Source organism: Homo sapiens, chromosome 10 (genome assembly GCF_000001405.40).
Source record: "Homo sapiens chromosome 10, GRCh38.p14 Primary Assembly".
Taxonomy (NCBI): domain Eukaryota; kingdom Metazoa; phylum Chordata; class Mammalia; order Primates; family Hominidae; genus Homo; species Homo sapiens.
In genome coordinates this window covers 34,191,735-34,218,270 of record NC_000010.11, presented here as the reverse complement: position 1 = coordinate 34,218,270, position 26,536 = coordinate 34,191,735, and the positions used below count along the sequence as shown (strand labels likewise).

The 26,536-nt window shown below is 41.5% G+C and overlaps 1 protein-coding gene across 8 annotated transcripts in view, besides 1 other annotated feature; it reads left to right on the top strand.

The window, feature by feature from the left end:
- Window positions 1–26,536, top strand: part of PARD3 (par-3 family cell polarity regulator) — a 705,736-nt gene that overhangs the window by 597,026 nt on the left and 82,174 nt on the right. The window lies entirely within an intron of this gene.
- Window positions 1,676–1,970: a silencer, noted in NCBI's record as "tiled region #2386; K562 Repressive non-DNase unmatched - State 24:Quies". NCBI's record gives its function as "represses a minimal TATA promoter and a strong SV40 promoter by Sharpr-MPRA in K562 cells {active_cell/tissue: K562}" and the evidence as "EXISTENCE:reporter gene assay evidence [ECO:0000049][PMID:27701403]".

Here is a 26,536-nt window from a genome sequence, read left to right as displayed (position 1 = left end):
CAACTCCTATACTAAGAATGAAAAGATGTCATGTGCCTTCCATAGAATTTTCCAGAATAGAGTCTAATGGGTTGAGAAGTCCTGAGATTCAGAGCATAATTTGGAAACTACAAGCATCTGAAGGTTAAAAGACCAACAGTCAGGTGTGCATGGTGTTCCTTCCTTGTCTTGAATCTCCTTTGTGAGTGATGAGTGATGTTTCAGGGACGTAGGGGCGTGCAGGAGGTGCCTGTGGAAGGGAGGTAGTATTCTGGCATCGGTCACAAACATGAGCCCAGATGTCATGTCTTCAGAGGACAGCTCCTGCCCCCCAATGTGTCCAGTTCCCACTGTCACTCTTCATGACTTCATTATATTTTTTAAGGTATCCGTCAATATCTGAAACTACATTACTTATTTATGTACCTTTTGGTGTCTACCTCCCTCTTTAGAGTCGCAGAGGGAGGAATCCTGCCTGTCTTGTTCAACATTGTGTTCCTAGTACCTAGAACAAAGCCTGACCTGCAATAGGAATTCAGTAAATATGAACTGAATAAATATCCCACGATTCAAAATCCAAAAGCATCTCACCCTTAGGCCACAGTCATGCATGACTGCCTCTGTACTTCATGATTACAAAGCTTCTCCTCATGCACTGCTTTGTCTCAGTGCACGCCACGAGCATGGTTCCATGCCCGTCTATCCCTGTAGTCTGCTGTCTGCTCCAAGGTGTGGCACTTGACACACCGGCCCCCCATTTCCTTATCCATGAAGTGGGATCGCACCACCTGTTACACCTCTGTAACGGGCATTTTAAGGATGACAGTAATAATGAATTAGCCTTTCCAAAAGCTTATCCTTATACATACAAGTATTGAGACTTGTACAAAGGGAGTGTTTTTACAAGGGTAGAAAATGATATGTACCCTTCCTTTTTTGATAATTCAAGGACAAGTTGCACCAAAGCTGTGAGCAGTATCAGATATTTAACACTCTATCTTCCAAGTGATGACGTGTACGATCTAGTTCTCCCTTCCTGGAGAGAGACAGAGACAGCGCAAGAACAAGCAAGTGAGAGCACCCAGGGACAGGGAAGCAGTGAGGTGGACATCCTCCCACCGAGATGTTGATGTCTAAGGCAGGCCAGAGTTACTGGATTTCACACTGTGTCTTCCATACCAACCCACGATTTCCTATCACCCACACTATCACACTATTCCAAGGAAGAAGAATGATGCTCTGATGGATAAGCGTTTGAGGTTTCATAACCACAGAAGTCATTTGTCTAATATAGTTAAAGAGACAAATATTTATATAAATCAAAGCATTTCTTTTTCTGAGAAGAATGTCATTCAATGAGGATGGGGATGGGGACAGAGTTTAAAGATGGCATTTGCTAAAAATGTGGACCCAAGCAGTTTCCTCTAAAGTGTAATTGGCTGTAGTGTTAATCTTTATGTCCATAGTCAAGGAAATCACCATTATAGTTTTCACATGTGAGGGAAGTCAGACATGCCTTGTTTACATTACTGCCATTTATAAAACATTTAAAGCAGCTATTCTGCTGAATAAACATTCAAGAGCCTGAAGGATAAGCATATCACTTAAACTTCTTAAGACTAAACTTTCCAAACCATTTCCTGCCAGAGGGACCCAACAGCAAAATTGCAAACTCTGTGCCCTGAGATGAGATAGGCTGAATTAGATTAAGCAGCTTACTGTTGACATGTCTATTGATCTGGGTTCAGTGCAGTTTCCTGTCTCTGCCAGCAGTCAGATTGCTGTATACAATAACACAGTGTCCTGGTTTATGTGAAATTGGGGACTCCAAGCATCAATTACTCCAGGAAGGCAGTGGCACTAGGAGATAAGGTTAAGCCGCTTGCAGTGTTTAAGACGGCTAAAATCCAAGCAACATATTTGCTGTCTAAAATGTTGCTTACAAATTTGACAGTGTTCCATTTATAAAATTTCCAAAGAGATCATCCAGTGTTGTTCTCTGCAGGTAGTCGTACAAATAGCATTATGAATGCTTATTGTTAAAGTGGTATATCCCACTTGCTCAATTTTGTGCATGTTTCCTAAATATTTGCATACAAATATTGAGCTGGGTAGCAGGACATCAAGAATGTTGTGGCGCCATCTTAGACCATCAGCTGTGCCCAAATGAGGGAATGCAGTTGATGTAAGAAATAAGTGTCGACCATCTGACTTGGGTATTTTCTTTTCTCTGGGACCAATCAAGTAGATTCAGTCAGCTACTCTCTTTGTATTTCTAATACCCATTTATTTGTTTTCATAGAGCAATTATTTTTCTAAATACTAACAACTACATATTTAATGCAAAAAGTGTATACAATACAGAAAAGCAAATGCAAACCACAAATGTCACCACCCGATGACAATTATTTTGAATTTTTGGATGCTAACAGTATTTTAAGTATTATTTTTAAATACACCCTCCTCCATCCACCTGTGCCAGCGTGTGACACACACACTTCTTTGCTAAGCACTCATTTAACTGCGAATATAATTCGCTATCTTTTTTGATTAAAGGAAATATGGCTTTCCTTAGAAGATTCTTACCTCTTGCAGTCCTACAAACGTTATAGAAGGATAGAAGTTAAGCCTATGTTTATGTACTTCTGAAGAGTGTAACTAGAAGACATTTTTATAATCCATGGAGTTGGAACTCTTCAAAATTCTTGATGGGTCAGCTCTGTTCATGCAAGTTGTCCTTAAGTTTCATGCTTAAAATGTAACTTCTTATTTCTGTAAAAGATGTTCACAGAGCAAATTCCACGCTTTCTTGTGAAACATATGTGCTATGAATTGGATTAAAGGATAGAGTTTTGAAAGTGACATTTCAGCTTGCCTATCATGACATTTTATGTATTTTTCAATACATATTTATCTCAGAAATATCTCCCTTACTTTATTACAGGTAGAAACAGAGTTTCACATAAAACTTAGGAAATCCCTCAAATACAGTACTGATGGAAACCAGACCTGGAAATTTGACAAGTCTGGGCACAGTTTACTAACTTAATTGTATTTTCCGGGCTGACCTCCTGAGATTGGTACTGTCCTCAATAAGCCTTTGCAACATTCACACCATTCTTTTCCATTTTATACCTTCCAAGAATGAGGCAAAATGAGTGTATTTAAAGTGTATTTAGCGTTTATTGGCAAAGTTTCAGGTTTTATCTTTTAATGCAATTTTAATTGGTTTTATTGCAGGATTGATGCAAGATGCCCGGAATGCCAATAGGTGAGAGGGCTCTAATAAGCAAAATGGGCCACTGCAATTACTGTTGATCTGACAACCCTTAACAAAACTAGCATGTTACATTCCTGACTGCGTCTCACCCTTAAAAGAAACCAGGCCTGATCATTTTAGATTTTTTTTCAAGGGGCCTAGACTCTTCGAAGTACTGAGAATTCCTCTCATAGTCTTTCTTTACTGAAATGTCTTGACTTTGTAAATTTTTAATTATCTTCAAAATGTCACTTCTGATGTTATGCTTCTCCTGAAAAAGAGGGTCCTCTCTGTATGATGCTTTCAGATATCCGTTATACAATGATGAACCCGATGTAAACAACCACACTTTAAAATAATATATTTTTTTTTATTTTTTGCAGAGACAGAGTCTTGCTACATTGCCCAGGCTGGTCTTAAACTTTTGGCCTCAAGCAGTCCTCTTGCCTGAGCTCCCGAAGTGGTGGAATTAGAGGCATCAGCCACTTCTTTTCATTTATATATTGGTTGTGGTGTCTGCAAGGAAGAGCCAAAGGGAGGCTGCTTTTCTCTCCCATGTGCCCAGAAACGGGCATCACCACCCCACGTTGCTTATGTTGCTCAAAACCATAAGGGCCTTTGTGGTCAGTTTAGCTTGTCATTGATGATGTGCAAGGAAGAATTATTAAATTTTTTGATAAGAATCACATGTATAGCCAGACTAATAATGGCAATAACATTATTAGGACTTTCTGAAATCGCAACACCCACTGCCTCCAATTTGTGAACCCTGAAGAGCTATAAATTTAGGTACTCTACTTAATCAAAAGCATCCACACATGAGAATTAATATAAGGCCAGCACGATGGCTCACACCTGTAATCCCAGTGCTTGGGAGCCTGAGGCAGGAGTATCACTCGAAGCTAGGAGTTCAAGACCAGTCTTGGCAACATAGCAAAACCCCGTCTCTACAAAAAATATATTTTTTTAATTAGCTGGGCATGGTGGTGCACACCTGTCATTCCAGCTACTCAGGAGGCTGAGGTGGGAGGATTGCCTGAGCCCAGAAGTTCAAGGCTACAGTGAGCTATGATCACACCACTGCAACTGCACTCTAGCCTGGGCAACAGAGCAAGACCCTGTCTCTAAAAACGAAACAAAAAAAAGAATTAATATAAAAAGATACCCTGCAAAAAATCAAAATAAGTTGAAAAATGTATAACAGAAAAAAGTCAATCGTTTGTCATTATCACATGAAACATTCATGAATCGTGGAGCAGCACTGCCCACGTCACCTCCTGTCCTCTGCTGCCAGGCAGTGGTTTTACCTTGCCTTTATCCCTGGTATCATGTAGCCATCTTATCTCTGCTATAGGATTGAGAGCCCTTTGAAGGCCTCTCTCTTTTATCTTTACACCTCCCACATAACCAAATAGGAAACCAAACCCTTATAATTGTCTGTAAACATTTATGTAATCATTAACTGAGTCAAGTTAGACCAATAGGCTTTCCAGGCCTGAGTGGAATGTAAGAAGTGAGAATGAAATAAAGGTTGGCTTCATCTGCGCTGTGGTTAGGACATAGTTCATCCCCACCAAAACTCATATTGACGTTTGACCCCCAATGTGGTGGTGTTGGGAGGTGGGGCATGGTGGGCGTGCTTGGGTCACTGAGGCAGATCCTCATGAATAGATTAATGCCCTCCCATAGGGGTGAGTTCTTGCTCTGGTGGGAGTGGATTAGTTCCCAGCAAAGCAGATTGTTAAAGGAGTCCGGCTTCCTCAGTTTCTCTTTCTTGCTTTCTCTCTTGCCATGTGGTCTCTTTGCACACACCCACCCCCCTTTCACTTTCTGCCATGAGTTGAAGCAGGCTGAGACCCTTGCCAGATGCAGCTGCCCAATCTTGAACCTTCTAGCCACCAGAATTGTGGGCCAAGTAAAACTCTTTTCTTTGTAAATTACATGGTCTTAGGTATTCTGTGATAGTAACACAAAACAGAGTAAGATAATGTGATAAAACACTTGGGCAAGCTTTGGAAAGGCCTAAGATAGTGTGGAGAGCAAAGAGAAGCCAGTGAATTTTTAGGGTGACTGAAGCTGATTTTAAGAGTGAAATAGATGAAGAAAGATGAAGGGGCTTCGAGAAGAATGTTCTGATGATGCCTCTGAGCCTGAGGTTTGGTGGCAGTGTTGGTGAAGATAAGTTAGACTCTCCTGGATGTTTGCAAGGCCTCTGAACTGGTTTTTAATCATGAGTTTCTTTTTTTCCAGTTCATCCTCAATGTAAGGGTTTTCTGACCAGGTTGAACTCCTGATTTATTAATGGCTTTTCAAGCTGCTCCACAGAACTCCATCCACCTCTGCGGCCTTTGCCCCCCTCAGAACCCCCCCTGCCCCAACTGACCTTCCCATTGTTCCCTACTCCACGAGGGGCTGTAGGGCGCACCAGGTACAGTCCTGGTCTTGTCTGCCTTGTATTTTTAACATTTTATGGTGACACATTGGGAGTTATTTCCCTAAGTGAGACCCTTTTCTGAATATATCTGTGCCCTCATAGCCTAGCAGAGTATTCAGACTTTTGAATGATGGAAACAAAGCTGTGGGAAAAGAGCAGAATACAAAATAACAATACCAATTTGAGCTAGCAGACATTGCTGTCAGGGGTCGGGCTAGAAAGATGAGAAAAACTGAAGCCTGCTTAGAGAGGTGTTGACAACCACCAGATCCAGAAGAATGACCTAGATAACAGGGCTTCAAGTTCTGACATGATTTTATTAGAGATGTTTCAGAAATCTCTACTGGAGAAGTTGTGGGAACACAGGGGAATAAAGTCACGGGGATGGGGGAGGAGTCATGATGGTAAGTGTTGATTTCCCCAGCATGGATCACCTGATAGCATCATCAGTTAAATTAGGATAATAGCGATTTGAGCATACTTAAGTTAGTAGATGCAAGAATGGGAGGAGAGGGCAGAAATACACATGGAAGCAAAATAGAGCAGAAATATATGGGAGCAAAAAAAAAAAAAAAAAGTTGAGCACTCTGAGATTCCAAAGAAGTAACATCTTACGTGATATACCAAAAAGTGGCCTTTTCTCTTGATGGAAAGAAGGAAGTGTAGTGTCCCCAAATACCAGAAAGAGCCTTGGGAAGATCTTTGGGATAACCCTGGGAAGGTGGAGATACTGATATGCTCACAGACAGTGAGACTCCTGGGGAGAGGAACAGGCATCTCTACTCCTTTTTCTTTTTCTTTCTTTTTTTTTCTTTTTTTGAGATGGAGTCTTGCTCTGTCACCCAGGCTGGAGTGCAGTGGCTCGATCTCGGCTCACTGCAATCTCCGCCTCCAGGGTTCAAGCAATTCTCCTGCCTCACGCTCCCCAGTAGCTGGGATTACAGGCGCCCACCACCATGCTCAGCTAATTTTTGTATTTTTAGAAGACGAGGTTTCACCATGTTGGCCAGGCTAGTCTCGAACTCCTGATCTCAAGTGATCCGTCTGCCTCGGCCTCCCAAAGTTCTGGGATGACAGGCGTGAAACATCACTCCCGGCCTCCATTTTCTAACTAGAACTTTGCTCCCTTCCTCTGTCGTTTCTGCTTTCCCTTTTTCTTCTGCCTTCTCTCTGCGTATGCCCCACTCAGTTCTGAGCATTTGTAAGTGTATCCTCACTCCCTTCCCGCTGGCCTAACTGTGATCTGAAAGAGGAAACACACACTTTGTAGGAGGTGACTTGGCAGAGGCAAGGGCCTACCAGGGCTTGGGGTCACACGGGCCAGAACTGGGCCCAAATCCTTATGCAGCCCCCTTCTAATCTTTACGACCCTAGACACATCTCCACATCTCTTGGTTGGAGGTGATTGCTCTGCCCTCACAGAAATGCAAGAATGAAGGGTCCAGGGAAGAGAGCGAATGTTTATCGGTGCGTTTCATGAGCCTGTCACAGGCTGAAGAGCTGTGTATCTGTTCTCAATTCTCACGTCAACCCGGTGAAGTAGATTCTGTTAATCCGTGTTAATGAGATAACACATGCAAAGACCTTGACACAGTTCCTCACTCCTCCTAAGCCCATAAACATGTCACCTGTCCTCCCTTATGATTGGTAGGTGTCACCTGAACAGGTGAAAAACAGTACGTTCCTTTAATATTGGGGGCACAGGGTCATAGGAGAGTGTGCAGCCAACCCCTTACCACCACACTGTGTTGAAAAGTCAAGTCAGGAAGCAATTGTCTGTATTCCTAAATGACCATTGTGCACTGAATTCTAGTTTTCCTAGAAATTACATGGTTGAAATCATCCCAGACACCCTATTTCCTGAGAACCAAGTCCAGGCTGTGGCTGTGATGATAGTGATGTGGTGAACTTCCTCTAGGAGACCACAGAGTTAGAGTCACTCTTGTTGAATAGTCTGAGCACCTTCCCAGGTATCAAGTTTTTGATCATTAATATCTACTATGTCAATCAGGAGAGAATGATCAATTATTTCCACTTTGTACCGCCGGATGTATCTCTTCTCCTTGTAAGTAGAAAGGTCATAACACCTTGAGCTGTTACGTATACTCCACAGGCCAGCAGGCTCCAGTGCAGAAGGTGGTGTCTAAAAGAAATACTCCCCATCGCCACTCTGCCCACCAAATGTCTCAACCAACATCCACACGCAAAGTATGTGGGGCAATTCACTAGTGAAAGAGTGGTTCTGATTTATGTTAACATGTCATGGAAGAATTAAACCACAAGCTTACTGAATAAAAGAAAACTCAAATATTCCTCATACTCTTCCAATTCCTCTTCTCTCCACCACCTGCACTACACACACACATACATACATGTACAATACATGTGTGAGTGCACACATGACCTGTTTTTGCATTGATTATGATAACAGAGAAGATAGGTGTTTATATGTTATATGTTGGGAAGTTCTTAGTCCTGGCCTCGCATTGAGCACATTTCATAAAGACACAGTATCACTCACATGTTCACATTTTGTTATGAATTCTAAAACTTCCTAGCCTTGCAATGTATGGCTAATTTTATAAATTTACAGCATATAAAATATATTAGAAATTCAATGAGTCTCATCTCCACTAGGTAAGATTTTTGGTAACTGAGGATTAACTTTACATATAAATATTAAAGTGGTGACTTATTTTGGATTTCTATCCATAAATATCTTACCTGATACAGTTTTATCATTATAACAACTTTGTGATAAAAATAATAATGTTAATGATAACTAATAATAGCTAACATTTACTAAATGCTTTCTCTCCCAAGAATTTGCATGCATTTTCTCATTTGGTTTCTGTAGCATCCCTGTGAGGTAAGCACTTTTTTAAAAAACCACATTACAGTACACAGAATATGTAGAAACTTGGAGAAGTGACTCAGCCAAGACCCCATAGCTAGTAATTGGTGGGAACCAAGATTTGAACCTATGTCTCTCTGACCCGTTTCTTTGCTCTTGGTTAGGAAAACTGAATTGAGGAATATTTTTCTCCATTTATAAAAGGTGTTAATTTTTGACTGCCCCCCACAACACACTAATATCTAACATTAATTTTAATATCATTTATCTCACAGAAGACAGAATCAACTATACTTGGCTTCTTGAAGCAATTCTCTTCCTCGCTCAAACTCCGTTACTGCCCCTGATGACATCTCCACATCAGCTCTGCCTTGTTCATGTCGAGAATATTTAATAGCATGACATTAAAAGAATCCTTGGGGCTCCTGCTCCTGATAACCAAATCAACCTCCAACTACATATTCTGCTAGATTTTTGATGAGAAATTTCCTGTGAAATGAAGTTTGTTTCTCATTCAAACAACCAGTGCATTTTTCAGTGAAAGTGCTGTTCATCTCTTGACCCAAGAAATAGAATTAAAGGAAGAAGGGATTCTAGGTCACCCAAGTAGAAAGAAAATCTGAAGTCATCTTTTTCCCTCTAGTTAAAGTTTACTTTGTCTTACATTTTTTATTCCTAGTCAGAATATTATATGTGGAATTTTAGTTTGCATGAAAATGGTCATTCTCAAATACTCTTTTCACCATAATGTATCTATTAGACAAGTATATTTCTGAAAGCTTAAAGAACTTGAGGTATTTAAATTCTTGGAGTAATTCTAACATGTCTGTTTATTTATAGAGGTTTCAAACATTTAATAGTCATTGAAGAACTGTGGGCTCCCTTTTTAATTTTTTCAATGACATCAAAACCCTCGATTGTTAAATGTCTGAAAGGAACTCAGAATGCTTGCCCCACACCATGCTGATAGCTACCTGGCTGCCTAGGAATCTGATGGCCCTCGGCTCCTTGAGGTTCACAAAGACTGATAGCTGGGTGGTACAGCTCCTGTTTCCTGAACGCTCACCCTGCATGAGCAGTTCTAGGGGACCGTTGGGTCACGCTTAACACATTTCTGTAGCCATCTTTGCCTACCTCTCTTCTCTGCGTCCTTAACCCTCTGCAAAATGATTTCACAAGAAATCAACTATAGATGCCTGTGCCATGAGGTGTGATCTATTAGTAAACAGCCTTGTTAAAAACGTACTGAAAGGCTGGCATTCCCCTGGTGGTCCTGGCAAGGATTCATAAGATTGAAGAGACATGTTAGCAACATTAGATGAGAAGTCACTAATAGTGCTGTTCTCTTATAGAACAATTGGATAACTAGTTATGCAAAGCCTCTATAATTTGGTTCTGCTGCCCCCATTCAGGCCACCTGCAGACAGTCTTCACTTAGGCACCATCCTTATTGCCAATTACTTTTCTTCGCTGAAATACTTCTTCTTTAATGAATGTTATTATTTACACTTTGCAGAGTAGTTCATGACAACCTGATTTGACTTGTGTCCACGACAGAGACTTTTATTTTTTAGAAGACATGTAAGAAAAAAAGTAAATCATGTGTTCATGGTTATGTCTCTAAAAAATGCAATTCTGCTGATGTGTAGCTAAAGCAGCCTATTAATTAGCAAAGGCACTTAAAATTGTTTTACACCACAGACAGTATTCAAGCTTTGAGAAATAAAAAGGTGTGTTCTTTGCATGAGAAGTTCAGGCATATATTATCCAGAGAGAGCTCATTACTTTTTTCTCTTTTACAGAAAGTTAGATAACAGCCTCTTTTGACAGAAAAATGTCTATTTTCTGACAAAGGACCGGAGGCATTCTTCTTAAAATCAGTCATTCTGGGTTTTCTAACAAAGCCTCGATGTTGTTCATTCTAAAGAAAATTGTGTCACCTTAAAAACTAGATTCATGCTGGGTTTTCCTATTTAACATAGGGATTAAGAGATTTAAAACGAAACTCTTGGTAAATATCAGTTGGAATGTCCATAAAGTTTACTGTGTCTCTTCATTAGTGGGCGGTTTTGGGGATTTGTAAAAAGGGTGAAAATATCATCTTGGTAAAAGAAAAGGTAGAGTACACATTTAACCCTTAAATGATTCTGTGCCTTATTTGTGTAACTTGCTTTGTCCTGAAGTGAGTGAAACTTGATCCATGGTGTCCCAGCCTGCAGTGACCTCTGACACTCCATCTGAGGACCAGGGACAGTTGTTCTACTCCCACCATTGGAAATGCTTTTGCCAGAACCCCACGGCTGGGGTTTCACTTTTTCTGTGTCCTGACTCGTTTGCATTCAATTACTTTAATGCTGAGAGATGTAGGAAATCAGCTCCATCTCTCAGCAGTTAGGGTGAGGGTTGCTTATTGAAAACACTTGCTGCTGTGCTTATTTTTAAAATATATTTGGTTACCTTTTTGTCCCCACCCAAGAGTGACAAAACAACCAACCATTTGAATGGGAGCTAATCAGAATACTGAATTTTAACTCATCATGAGCCCCTGTGTGAGATAAAGGAGGAAGTATTTGAGGCGTGAATTGCTGATGTAGGCTTGATAAGTCTTGTTTTCCTAGTTAAATTGTAAGCAGAGAGGCCTCACCCATCCCAACCAAACACACAGGTGAGCATACCTGTGTGCCAGCACACACCATGGCAGATGGTGGCTTAAAGCTGGGCACACAGTGACAGCTAGGTGCTTGTCAGTTGATGAAGCTGTGTAATCTAGAGTCCAGGATTGATCCTGTGAAATTATAGGTGATACTGCTTTTCTCTGGCTGTATGGGACAAGACCTCGATCTAGTAGTGAGGTAGGAGGTGAGACTTTACTCCAGACCAGACTGAAGACTGGTTGAAACAGAAGAGGTGAGAGCACCTCTCCATAAGACACACCTACCAGTGCCATGTTGGTTTACCATTGCTATGGCAACACCTGGAAGTTTCCACTGCTTTCCATGGCAGCAACCTGGAAGTTACCACCCTTTTTCTAGAAATTTGTAAATAACCCATCTCTTAATTTGCATGTAGTTAAAAGTGGATATAAACATGACTGCAGAACTGCTCCGAGCTGCTTCTCTCCACCCACTGCCCAGGGAGTAGCTCTGCTCTGCAGGAGCAGTCAGGGAGATGCAACACTGCGTCCTCAATAAAGCTGTTTCCTTCTATCACCGACTGGCTCTGGAGTTCTTTCCTGAGTGAAGCCAAGAACCTTCCCGGGCTAAGCCCCAGTTTTGGGGCTTGCCTGTCCTGCATCAATAGGAGCTGACAAATCTTAGTAGCCCAAGGAAGGCCATAAAAGGGGCTCACTCCAGGCAAACGCCGCCCATTTCCTATTTCCTACCTGTGCTGGATTTGCTGAAACCGTCACCATAGTGAATGACATCTGAGACCTGTAGTCTGGTTTCATACCCCAATATGCTGAAGATGTGCAATGAATAGCTAGGGGCGCTAGAGCCCTGGACCAGCAAGCAGCCTGTGCCACTGACTGCCACTGTTCTTGTTCCTCCTGGCCCAGCAGCCACCTTCCACACCTGCACTGGGACCTCCCACTGTGCCTCTCCTCCCTTCCATGGACTTAAGTGAAGAGGTGGTCAAATTATGCTTGACTGCTGTGATTTATACATGTGAAAGGGTTTTTTAAATGATCCATGTGGATCTGCTTTTCTCTGGCTGTATGGGACAAGACCTCGATCTAGTAGTGAGGCAGGAGGCAAGACCCCACACAGCCACAGGTGCTGCCCCTCCTCCCAACATCAGCATCGGTCCTCAGCCATGAAGTGCTGTAGTTTAGTGGCAGCAGCCATCAGATGCGCAGCCCCAGGGGATGGGGGGACTGTATCCGGAGCATACGCTGTGGTGGTCTGCCTGCCGCCAACTACAATGGCCACAGCAGGAACAAGTCAAAATCCTAAGATATGTGGCTTTTTCTTGACCCCAGAGGAAGCTAGGAAAGTGAAGAGGCAGGAGGAAGTGCAGGAGGTGAGTCCCTGCCCATCTTCAGGCCCAGCCTCTGCTGCCGCCATCCCCTTCCTCTCCAGCTCCCAGGCTTTCACCACACACATCGCTTCACCCTCTCCCTGGCCGCCCACTTCCTCTTCTTAGAGCCTGGCATTCTTCTTTCAAAATTCAAGTCCCTCTGCTTGCCATTGCATCTGACACCTTACCGCACTCATACAGGATTAAGGTTTGTGGATTTGACTTCTGAAAACTGATAAAGTGAACAGAGGAGTGTTTTTCTTAAAATAATTTTTTAAAAACACTGCAGATAGATTTGAATGCTTTATTAATTTGTTTTCTAACGCATGAAAACATTTTTCATTTCACCCGGCCTATCTAGCATGCTAAGAGAATTTAGGCCAGATAGGAATATTTATCAATTGAGTTCAGATGTCAGCATAACAGGCTAAATACAGTCAGATTAGGCAAGTTCAACAAACAGGTGTTAAAGATCTCATTTCCTGCTGATTCTCACCTGAAAGTCCCAGTGACCTCAGCATCAGATGTCTCTTAGTTGAGAAATACAAAATCAAAGATTTTTTTTCCAGCAGGTGTATAACACACCTAACTGATTTCACTAGAGCCCTGAGGCTGATGTTGGTGAAATGTGCTTATGATGCAAAGGTTTACAGTGTGTTGTTTTCCAACTTTTTTGATGATAATCATCCCCAGACTCAAATTACTCCCTATAGTTGCTATAATGATGCAGGCACAATCGTTTGGCTTAATTACGGTTGACTGTCTAAAACTACCTTCCCCTGGAGTCATTGAAAGTTTTATTGGAGTTCTTTAATATGATTATAAAAATTAATGGACTTGTAATTAGGTATAAGAGAAGCACATCCAAAGTTTGCCAAATAAACAAGTGTTCTACTTATGAAGTCACACATTTCTGCTTATGAGCCCATAATATAGATACCACGAATTCAAAATCTTATGCTGGCTTGTGTTTACATCAAGAAAGATGATTTGAAAATGAATTCAGATCCTCTTATTGTAGGGGGGAATGTAACGTAAGCACACCCTTAGGATGATCCTGTATGGCAGATGCATCTGAATATGTGTTCCAAGTTAGGGCATCCAGGAGTAGCCAACCCAGAGATTCATTCCTTGTCTGTGAAGAACATCTGAGCCCCCATCCTGTTCTGTTGAACACAAGCTGTATGGAGGATTGGGGCCCTGAGTTTTGGGTTAAATGAAGGTTGCAAGGTGGAGGTCGTTAAGGGGAGGGTGTTAAGTGAAAACGCTGTATATAAACTGCATGCTGTTTGCAAGTGGTTGTGGTTTTCCTACCCAGCCTGCCAACACTGCGCCGTGAGGTTATGCTTTCCAGCCTGCCACCACTGGACCATATGTAAGGTGGTTATCTTGTCCAGCCCACTGCCACTGGACTCTCTTTCCTTTATGTAAGCCACTAATAAAACCCCATGTGTCATTCGCTTGCTCTGGGTCTCTCCTTTGGCCTCTTGAACTTGGTGCCTTTCCTATTGAGGTTAATAGAGGTTCCACACGGTACTTGCAACTTTCTTTGAAAAGGGAATACGTTATCATTAACATCAATACTGTCAACACTATCAGTAAATGTTGATGTACTTACCTTTCTACATACCTTCCATTTGCTAAGTGAGATCTAGGCTTAGTCAACACATTTACTATTCAGAAACCTCTAATCAAGTGATAGAACTCTGACTTATGAAAATTATAACTACAATCTAGCTGCCACTGAGTTTTAATCATAACATGAGAGGCGTCTTTGAGGCATTTAGAACCTTCTTTGAAAGACATTAGATATCTCCCAAACTTCCCTTGCACATGAACAAAATGTCTTCACATTATCCCTTATTTTATTACTTGAGTGTGTCTTCTGCTGTTGCAAAACCAGGCATTGACAGATCAATAGAACTCAGGTGTGTGGATTCCTGGTGGTACTTGTCTCTGAATATACAGTCGGCCCTCTGCATTCATGGGTTCTGCATCGATGGATTTGACCAACCACAGATCATAAATACCCGGGGAAAAAATGAATGAATGATTGCATCTCCACTGAACATGTTCAGATATTCTTTTCCTTGTTATTCCCTAAACAGCACAGTATAACAACTATTTACATAGCATTTGCATTGTATTAGGTATCATAGGCAATCTAGAGATGATTTAAAGTATACAGGAGGATGTGGGTAGGTTATATGCAAATATTACACCAGTTTATATAATAGACTTGCACATCCGTGGATTTTGGTATCCACAAGGTGTCCTGGAACCGATTCCCCGTAGATACCAAGAGACAACTGTATTTGGAAAGCTTCAGAAGCTTTGCAGATGAATGCAGAAGGCTGGGAGTCAGTGGGAGCTTTCCTAACCTCAGAACAGCCATTCATTTGATCTGTGTCTAGAATGAGAGTTTCTCTGTGTGAGCTATGGGTGATTAATCCATTTTGCCTTCATTCTTCAGTGGTTTGGCATATAGATTGAAGTGTTTTGCTTTTCTATTTATTGGCGGAGGCAAATAGAAACAGAGCTCTCTCTCTCTCTCTTGCAGTGTACCCACACTCCAAAGTGCCATAAAACGACCTTCAAAACTAAACCATCATATTTTCTTGGCACAGGCAGAGCGAGAAACTGGGGATGGGGCTGCAGCTGGCAGTGGGGCCAGGGTGCTGGAGTGGGGGTGTTAGCAAAAGGTAACTGTGCCCATTTGGTTGTGTTCAAGTGCAGACCTCAGTGAATTGAAGTTCTAGCCTCTCAGGATGCCAGACATTGTGGCTGCTTCTCAATCACAGCCAGCTCAGTACAGCCATTGTCACTGAGAGGGTTTACTGTTGTATTTTTTTCTGAATCTGAGCCATTTGTGTGTCACAGTAAGGGAAATAGATTCATGTATTGTGCCTCAAGTATTGCCAGGAAAGCAACATATTAAGCACATACTTAGACCCTTCTTTTTCCTTCTGTTATTAAATTGGAGATAAACTCATATAAAGAGTAGATTCTAGAATGTAATTTGGCTATATTGATGCATATAAGAAATGCCACCCTTTGCAAAATCAACAGGGAGTAAAAGGAAGAGAATGTTTTATTGAGTTCTCAGATATGTTGAGCAAAGTTTTAGTCTCTTGCCTGGTTCTTGATCATCTGTGTGATGTGGTGAAGTCACTTAGCTTTCTGTACCTCTGTTAACATGCCTGTGTCGTTTATGCAGTGTGACATTTGGACTAGAAATGATGCTTTCCTCTTCCAAAGAGTGGCTCTCAATCTCAGTGGGCTCTTTCACACCTCTTATCTGTAAAAAGTTGAAAGTATACGTAATGAATATGTTCAGAAGTCTTTAAAATATTTTCACCAAATGCAGTGCCTCATGCCTATAATCCCAGCACTTTGGGAGGCCAAGGCTGGAGGATTGCTTGAAGCCAAGAGTTCAAGACCAGCCTGGGCAACATAGTGAGATCCCATCTTTATAAAAGATTTAAAAATTAGCCGGGTATTATGGTATGTGCCTGTAATTCCACTACACAGGAGGCTGAGGCAGGAGTATTGCTTGGTCCCAGGAGGTCGAGGCTGCAGTGAGCTGTGATCACACCACTGCACTCTTGCCTGAGCAACAAAGAGAGACCCTGTCTCTAAAAAAAACAAAAATAGGCTGGTTCGATGGTAGTGGGTTATCAGAACTTATTAATGTTAGTGTCACAAAAGTTGGTGTTAACCCCCCACTGCTAAAATCTGACTGGCTAAAAATAGTAAAAATGAAAACAAAAAATGATACTTTGCAAGCCCCCTGATCCTTTTTTCCAAGAGCAATGGTGCACTGGGGTGGGGATCCTGTCATTCAGTGTTTCCTCCCTGGTATCCAGCACAAGGTCAGCAGAAGTGAGTGCTCAGTGAATGTTTGCGAAACAGAACGACGTTTCTTCCCTTTAGTTTTTACGATAATGGAAGCTCTGTATCCTGATGGTGTGGTTGGTACATGAATCTCTTGATGTGTTAAAATTCATTTTATTTTTTAACATACCCTAGAGTTGCTTTTTTGGGTGAACAACTCCTTGAATTTTAACACACAGAACTTCATACCACAAAAAAAGTCCATTTTACTGTATGTTAATTTAAAGATAAAATTTTAAAACATGGCTCCCCTTTTGAAAGAGTCACTTTCAGCACTCTGAAGAGATGAACCAACAACTGAAACTTCTCTCTCCAAAGCATTCTATGCCCTTAGTATAGATGGCTTTTCATTTCCTTCTAATTATAGTTCTCTTTGATTTCTTCATAATTTATTTAAATAAACTTTTTACGCTGAGATAAGGATCTGCGTTTGTTATAAAATACTGCTTTTAAATAATGAGAGAATACTGTTCCCTTCCAATAAGTTTTTCAGTGGAAATAAAATGATTTCTTAGCCTTTCTTGAAGCAGCAACGAACAGAAGTATTAGTGAACAGCATTCATTGAGTGCGGTATGCCACACTGCTAGCTCAGTAACCTGCCTTGGTTCCCTTTATCCTCAGAGCTCCCCCAAGGTACATGACTGCATCTTTCTTCGACAGATGAGAACTTAAAGACTCAGAGTGGCCCATAGTACATGGTGATAGAGATGGGATTGGAACCCAGTTCTGTCTGTCTCTAGATCCCATGCCTTTCGTATTCCAAGAGGCCTCCCTGTAAACAGATACAGTTTATAAAGATAATTTGGCAGGTGCGTGTGTCTGCATGTATACACAGGCACTCACACATACATTGGAGAGAGGAAAGGCAGGCAGTGGGGGGCAGGGGGTTGCCAAGGAGCTGCCAGAGAGTTTGTTCAGTGTCTTCCCTGTTTCTGAAATAGCAGAAGCTGATGCAGGAACAGCTACATTCATTGAGATGCCTGTGTCGACCACTGCAGCCAGCTGAAAAACCATCTGCTCTTATAGCCCTGGCGTCTGCATGTGAGCTTTTGTTCCATAATGCAGCAATATCCCTAGAGTGGAGAGAGCCAGTAGCCTAGTAACTAATGCTTTGTCCCCTCCTTTTCCTGTTGTCACGACTCTGTGTCTGCAGCTAGTCCTCTATTTTTTACTGTCCATCTAGTGAGTGGCTGGACCATCACTGATGTGCTGTTGATGCCTTATCAGGGTTCAGTAAGTACTAAGCCATGTGATGGATGGGCAGAGGGCTGGCAACAGTTTCCTCTTTCTGCTACAGACTAAGACTCCTTAACTAGAGATGAGGCAAGGAAACAGATAGACCCCATCTGCTGCCACAGATTCATTTCCTGACTTGCATTTCTTGCCTCTCCTGCGGGTTTGTTAACTCTTCAGTCTTTGGCAAAAGTTCCATTGGGCAGCAACCACAAATATCAGCCATCCCCCAATAAGTTTACTGTCTGCAGGAAAACGAAGATTTTTTTTTTCCTGTTATTGCTTAAGAGGTGTTGGAAGTCAGCAGTCTCGGGTCTTGCTCTAACTGCCTCTAATTAGCTAGGTGACATTATACCAGTTACTTAAAGTCTATAAGCTATATTCTTCCATGAAAGAAGAATTATAAAACTCCCTATCTTACAAGGTTGTTTTCAAGATGAACTGAGATAATGAATTGAAGCCACTTAACATAACTAGAGATCAATTGTGATTATGATTGTTATTTGTAACCAAGATCTACATGATCATAGCTCACAAAGATAGTTCATTTATAAAAATCCACTTTCTTTGACCATGATCTTCACTTACCAATCATGTTTCATGGCTGTCAAGATGATTTCCTCTACTTTACCAAACTCAGGATAATAACACAATATCCTGGAATCACTAAACCGTTTTTCATGGATGTGGTATTCTGTTTTTTTGGGGTCGGGCAGTTGTAACACATTCGAATAGTCTTTGTTGCTAAAGAACCTAGGAGAAGCCAGGTAGAAATTGCTCTAACGAGGGACTTGCCTCATTTTATGGCCCAGTTACTGATTTCTCCGGTTCTCATTAATCACTTGCTCAGAAGGGAAAGCTTGCATCCTTTATTCTTGAAAGTAGGAAGGAGGTGCTCTTGCTCCACAACTAGTAGGAAGTAAATGTTTGATACTCCTATTTTTTTAAATTCTATTCATGCTTTTATTCAGGTTTTTCAGATTTGCTTAACACAGCAGGCCAGGCTTTGCTGAAGGTAACCGGGGTTGGGGGTGCCGCCCATGGCTGTAGGGCAAAACAAAGCTCCCTGGTCACCCTCATGAAACCATGGCCATGACCTCGTTAACTCTGAGCTCTGCCTTCACTGACCAGCCACTGGGGATTGTCAGCTTAGGGCAATTACCCCTTAGTCCTCACACCAGCTCCACGTGTGAGATGCCTGTGGCTTCTCCAGGCTAAGCCCTGTCACCGAACCAAACTGGGTCCATTTGCCTGTTCACAACAGAAAGCCAAACACCAAAGCACTAGGTTTTTATAGCAAGCAAGGTTAATTGTGAATTGACTGACAAGGAGACAGGAAGATATGCTCAAATCTATCTCCCAAAGCTGGGGCCTGGGTTGCATTTTATGAGCATAGGATAATGAGGTCCGATCTGATTGGATTTTGAGATGAGGTGATGCTGGGAGGCACGATCTGATTGGATCCTGTCATGGGGTGATGCCAGAGCTCCATCTTATTGGATCCTGGATCCTGCCATGTAATGTCCACTTCTTAATTCAGTCCCATTCCTTGGTCCCAGTGCTTAGGTTCTGCCCATGGTTGCATGCTTGGATCATCTAGGGATGCCCAGGTTTTGTGACCTTTAACCTGAGAGTCCATGGCAACTGAAAAGCAACTCACAGCTTGGTTGCATAAAAGTTGAACCAGATTGGTCTGACGTTGTTACAGCTGTTCCACAATGGAGCAGGGCTCCTGAGCATTAATGATCACCCATCGTGACACAGTCCCAAATACATGGGAGGCCTGGGGTTAAATCTGACTGTTTGACTTTCCCTCTGTATTTGCCTGTTTTCTGACACCTTTCTAAGGGGTTGACTGTTTGGGGCAATTTTTGTAATCTGTAAAGGACATCAGGGTGCACTTCAGTTGACTGTTGTAAAACAAAATGACAGGTAGTGAAAATTTTCTATCAAAATAGAATAATTTTAACTTTTAAAATAAGGTGGCAGCATTCATTATAAATATTCTAAAATGCAGAAAAGTATAAAGAAAAAATAATAATGACCCCACTACCCACTGACATCTTCTAGGATCATCCTTCCAGTTATCTCTTCACAGACACACACACACATACACACACACACACACACACACACACACACACACCAATTAGTGATTTCAGATAGGCATTCTTATGGATTTTTAATTAACTTTAGTTAAAATTGGTACCCAGGTTGGAACTTAGTGAAATATGATAAATCTGTCTTTTGCTGAGTCACTAAGTGAATGTTGACTGTTTACAGAAAAAAAGACAAAAATGTGAAACTCATAATCACCAGCATTATGTGTGATTTTTATCTTCTTTTTAAAATAGCTGCATTATCCTGAATTTAATATGGTTCCTTAAGATCAAAAAATGAAGTGATTTTAAAATTGGCTAGAAAGTATCTATTTGCTTGGCTTATTGAATTTTTTACAACTTTAATTTCTGAATCTTGCTGTTATCATTGTTAATGTTAGAAGCTGCAATGTGAATAGCAAGGTCCGAAAACCATTTTTCACTTTTAGCTTCTTATTAAATAACAGCAGATTCGGCCGGGCGCGGTGGCTCATGCCTGCATTTTGGGAGGCTGAGGCAGGCGGATCACGATGTCAAGAGATCAAGACCTCAAGACCATCCTGGCCAACATGGTGAAACCCTGTCTCTACTAAAAATACAAAAATTAGCTGGGCGTGGTGGCGTGCGCCTGTAGTCCCCGCTGCTCGGGAGGCTGGGGCAGGAGAATCACTTGAACCTGGGAGGCAGAGGTTGCAGTGAGCTGCGATCGCACCACTTCACTCCAGCCTGGCGACAGAGTGAGACTGTGTCTCAAAATAAATAAATAAATAACAGCTCACCTCCTGCAGTAGGAGCAAAGGTTACCCAGCAAAATATAGTGGAGAATTCAAACGAAGAACTAGTTACCTTGTGTTAAAAATACTTTAAGGTAACCTGGAGGCCTGAATTTATTAGCTCACGCAGCATACACCTAGTCTAAGTAAGAGAGAAGGGATGGAATAATTTTTATGTCCCAAAGTCATTAAATGCAAATTAATGATGTCTACATTGTTGAAGTTTTGACAAAGGAACACATGCTGGAAGCTTGGAGGTTGATTGCTGAGGAGGTTTGTTTGGTGGGAATGGGCGGGTGGCCTGTGTTTCTTCTGAGAGGAGAACGTGTAGTCCTAAGTGTTCATTCTGAACTAGGAGTTCGTGGACAAAAACCAGTCGGGGGAAGGTTTCATTCCAGGCCTGGTCCAATCAGTTCCCTCAGATTGAGTAGTTAACACATGAAGAGCATCTGTGAATACTCAGAAGCCAACTCAATCTTGAGAAGCAAGCAAGCATTTTTCCTAAAAATAGCTGGTATTTGGTCACTGTGATAGATCGTTTAAGATTATGAGCTAAGTGTGTGTACATACACACACTTTAAATCGGGAGGAGAACACAGTTTTTGAAGACCCTGCATTCTTCATATTAATTTAACTTGGTTTTGAGCTGAACATTGCTCGTGTAGTGGGTGCAGATGGGAAGGCACAGGATGGCAAAGCATAATGCCTCCCTGGCCTCCAGATACCACCAGCCATTTCGTGAGGTGGATGGACAGACAAAGCTTGCGGTTCATAGTAACGCCAGTATCAAAAGAATTAGCATGGGAGGCACCTCGTGGGCTGTCACCCAGACACAGGCCTTAGGGCTGGTCTCCTTCTTACCTACATTAGCAATCAGAACAGAAAAGGGCACTCTGGGAGGCCAAGGTGGGCGGATCATGAGGTCAGGAGATAGAGACCATCCTGGCTAACACGGTGTAACCCTGTCTCTACTAAAAATACAGAAAATTAGCCAAGTGTGGTGGCGGGCACCTGTAGTCCCAGCTACTCGGGAGGCTGAGGCAGGAGAATGGCATGAACCCAGGAGGCAGAGCTTGCAGTGAGCCAAGATCGAGCCACTGCACTCCAGCCTGGGCGACAGAGCGAGACTCCGTCTCAAAAAAAAAAAAAAAAAAAAAAAGAAAAGGGTACAAAGTATTTGTAACTCAAAAGACAATACAGGCAAAACTAAGTAACAAGAAATACTACTGTCATGAAAATCATTTCTCTCAAGCATTGTTCAATTTAAGATGGGAGCTAGGACCATCCTGTCTGGTATCAAAAATTGTCATCAACATAAGAACCAGTGCAATATAAGGAGATTCCAAGATATTAAGAATAAAGGTGATTTTTTTAAGTGACTCTCAAATGAGAGTGCTCTTTAACTGGAGTTGATGGGGTATTAACAAGCGGAGCTTAAAGCACTCTATTCAAAGGTATTATGTATTATGTCACAAAGTGGAGATGTGGTCATTGTACGCCACGTAACCCTGCAGAGCACAGGAATACAGAACTCTGTCTGGGTCACTTATTTCTAGAAAGCTATAGACAAAGGAGCTCACAGGCCAGCAACAGAATTGATTAAAGGGATAGGAAGAGTCATGATGAGAGCAAATTAAGTGGCAGAAGTATGAATAATTGGGCTAAGAAAGGGTGAAGTAAGTTTAAAGTAAACCAATTCTATTATAGCTAATATTTCTTGAATGCATATTCTGTGCCCCAGGCACTGCATAAGCCCTTTACGTGGGTTTAGTTTTCACAGCATTTCACTTTCACAGCAACTCTGTGAGTTACCACTGTTATCCACGTGTACCGTACCAGGAAACTAAGGTTTGAGGTAATGGTTAAGGAGCTTGGCCTCATTTTCATAGCTAGCGAGTGGCAAGATTTTCAGGTTTGCAGTGATACACTCTGTCCTGTGCTATTTGATGTCATCACATACCTCTTCCTAAAATTTGGATTGGGATGTTTGTGCCCATCCACATGACTCTAAATACATGTTTTCAGTGTTGCCTCTATGTCACCTTCTGTCCCTTCTCATTCTTCTCGGAACATGTGATGCCTTATATTCTTAGTTATGTAAACATCTTGTCTCTTAAACTGGAGCTGATTTCTTGAGGATGGAGAATGTGTTTCCTGTCCAATACATAAGCACTCCAGAAGTGTTTGCCTTTGATGTGTTTCTTTTGATTATGTCTGTTTAAAGGATTTTTCTCTGATAAGCACCTAGCATGTTACTGTGTGTTGTCAGTTACTACTCGTTTTAGTACGTGTGTGTGTGTGTGTATTTGTAGCAGGCGTTCTGTGCATGTGCATTGTATTCATTATATGCACAGAATGCCAGTTCTAAGTGCCAGGCACTACTTGAACAACAAAGAAAAGAGTAGACACTTTGCTCAGTGTGGTGAAGAAAATCCCCTGTCAGCCCTGAGGATCCTATTACAAGTCTGAAAGTGGGCATACAAAAATAATTAAGTTTGTCTTGAAGTTAGGATTAGAAAAGATGAATATTTATTAAAGAAAGCATAAACATTGGATTAATTGTGTTCAACTTTTTGCAACTTATTTTGCAGCTACTCCGTTAATTATTGATTGCAGTTTTCCTTAAGAGACATTGTTTGGCATATTTATTTGTGAAGTAAAGCAATTTGGATTCTCCTATTAATTTTACATAGAGAAATTACGTTGGTATATCTTGAGATAGGAAGGTACAAAATCAGGACAGGCTTATTCTGCCAGGCCCAATGTGGCACATCTGTTTTATAAGTAAACAGAAGTTGAAATTTTATCTTAGATAAAGTTCATCAAATTTTACTTTTGCTAATACATGTAATCACCTCAGCTATATAGTTTAAGTATTCAATGACAGTAAACTAGTAAGTATTCTTAATAAACTATAAACTGTTAAGTATTTAACTATAACTATCTAAGAAACTCTTAAGTATTTTTAAGCATGGAGATTGATCCCCTTCAGGGACTATGAATAATAACTTACACATTTCATCTTCAGTCCATCTCCCCATTATCCACCTAACACTGCCTTGAACATGGAGGGGAAAAAAAAGTGTTAATTTAAGAAAAAAAAAAAAAAAAAAAAGCTTTGGCATATTCCAGGGTATTCATAGTGATGTCTTGAGTTATTTTACGAAACAGTTCCAACTGATTTCCAGAAACCACAGTTGATGCATAAATTCCCTAATTTGTTTACTTTAGAGAGATCATCTCAAGTGCAGCATCTGTTTTTTGCTTTCTCTGTGCGATCTTGGTTTTACATCAGGAGGAGTGAGGCACAGGGACGTACAAGAGCGGCTCGGGCCACACAGGCAGCTCCTGAACCTGCTGTGTGCTGTGTCAGGAGCTTTCTGAAACAGTGGTGGGTGTGCCTCCTGTTACTGCTCTGGGTGGGCAACTTCCACGTCTGCCTTTTCAACTGTTTCTCAAGGATAAACTCCATCTGCCAGATAACATTATTTTACAACTAGAAGAATGTCACAACTCAAATTTTGCTTAGTATGTCTTATTTTGGAGAAGCAGCTTTCTTCTGTGAAGCTCAGAGCAGTAACCTAAAATTACTCTCAATATGTAGAGGGAGAGCCTTCTGGAAGTGCAGTGGTTATTTATGAAGCTTGGGTGGGGGAGCTCCCTGCCATGTTCCAGTGAAATCGGAGAGATAAAATTTTAATGTTGGAGGCTTTTCTACCATTTTGCTTCTTCTGCAGTCCTTGCAGAAGCAGCTGCTATAGGAAATCTATTTCCAGAGCCCTGTCCAAGCCCATGCCCAGGGTCACAGGAGGAGGAGCACCCCGTAGTTTGTGATGTTAGTAGAAAATTCAGGGCATTGAAAACCAGGAAAGTATCAACAGCCTCCATCTCTGAAAAATAGCCAACTGAATTTTCTCTCATAAAGGGTGGCCCACGCTGGTCCTCCAGCTTCACTTAGAGCTCTTGTAAAGATGGGCAGGAATTATTGTGAATATAAATTCGAGCTGAAGAGAAGAGAGGGAAGTGCAGAAAATCCAATTAACTGAAGCGAAAGTCATACAGAATAAACTACCCATTGCTAAAAGAAATAGGTTTTAAATTGAATGAATCTTTAGAGCAGAATTGATCAAATATGTCCTTATTGTATGAGAAGATGCACTTTGCAAATAATATTTGTCGGGAGGCATCATCTGCTTGAGGATGTTTCATCTTCTTGGTAAGAAGGCCGTTAGAAGTTTGGAGCCTTTTTCATCATTGTTATTAACTTGCAGGGGAAAATCTTCCTATTCCAATATTCATTAAATGGATCTCTTTGTGTATACAAATAGTAAAAGTAGTTTTGAAAGTACTATAGGTAAGCAAGGGGAAAAAATGCACTGTTTGTTTCTTCATAGAACTGACATTTTTATTTAGGGAAAAATCCATGAATTTACAATCTCTCCCTTTCTAGGTTTTTCAACATTTCTTGCAAATTGTATGTAAATGAATGCAAATAAGCAATCCTCACTAGCAAGCTGCTTAGAAGTGTAAAATGCATAAAATTAAGATACTGAGAGAAACGTGCATCTAATTAAGGTAGCATGTAAAGAAATGTTTAAATTCAAATTAGATACTTCAGTGGAAAGAATTTACTTGTTTAATTCAAAAGGTGTTTTGTATAATTCTGAGAAGCTTGTCCTTAGCAGTACTTCCATTTCCTTCAAAGCTCCAAAAATCAGTTTTAGGAGCTTGCCCTGGTTCAGTTAAACTTTAAAATTGGGTTTAAGCTAAGAATTGGAATGTCATAAAAATACGTTCTAGTTTTAATGCCTTTACCTCAAAAACAGACTTAGAGAGGCGGGCATGATAATTTGAGAGTGAGAGTGGGTGGATGTGTGGATCACTATTTCTATCCCATTCATAGAAATGGCACGTGGTACTTGGATTTCATGGGTTCTTAGAAAGCCTGGAGATAACACAGATCACAGGCATCTAGTTATCCCTGGATCTTAAGAACATTCTAGGAGCAAGACAGGAAGGATGCCGGCCTGTGCCATCAACAGCCCCTCCACACTCTGACGTCCAGGAGGTCACCTTTACTCTTTGGGGCCATGTGAGTCCAGTCCAACCTCCAGCTGTGCCAGGGACAGAAGAGGAGGAGAGGAATTTGGTCTCAGTTTAGAAGCCTATTGTTTAAGTAGATGAAAATTTTTTTTACGAAGCATTAAGCAACAAGCAAAGTACTGAAGAAATATAAGATCTGTGTGGAGAAGACAGAAACTGTCTTCTAAGGTTGGTGCTGTTTCTGTCTCAGACACAAGAACCAAAAGGGCAGATAGAAAAACAAGCAGGGCTGGGGACGGTGGCTCACGCCTGTAATCCCAGCACTTTGGGAGGCCAAGGTGGGAGGGTCTCTTGAACCCAGGAGTTTGAGATCAGCCTGGGCAACATGGCAAAACCCTGTCTCTACCCAAAACAAAACAAAAACAAACAAACAAAACCCACAAACAAGAATTAGCTGGGCATGGTGACATATGCCTGTAGTCCCAACTACTCAGGAGGCTAAGGTGGGAGGATCACTTGAGCCCAGGAGGCAGAGGTTGCAATGAGCCGGGCACTCCAGCCAGGGTGACAGAGCCAGACCCTGTCTCAAAAAGGAAAAAAAAAAAACAAGCAGGAAAGTGGTTTTTGCTAGTTTTCAGAATGCCTGATTTTGAAGTGTTCCACTGACCTCCACTTCTTTTAGTGAGAGTTCTTGCTTTCTACCAGATGGCATATTCCTCCAATTTCAGCTGAGCCCGTGTTTTAGCCTGTAAGCCTATAGTCTCTATTTGCTGGCCTCACAGAGGAGAAATCATTCATTAAGTTTTGATCATGTGCAGTGTACAAATTCTCTCTTAGACTCAGGTTCCCTAATCTGAAGTTCCTGTCTGTGTCTGAGCTGGGGAATTAGAAAATGACGCTGAGACTGTTGTTCTTCACTGGGGAGTTGGATCTGCTCTGTCTCTTCAGCG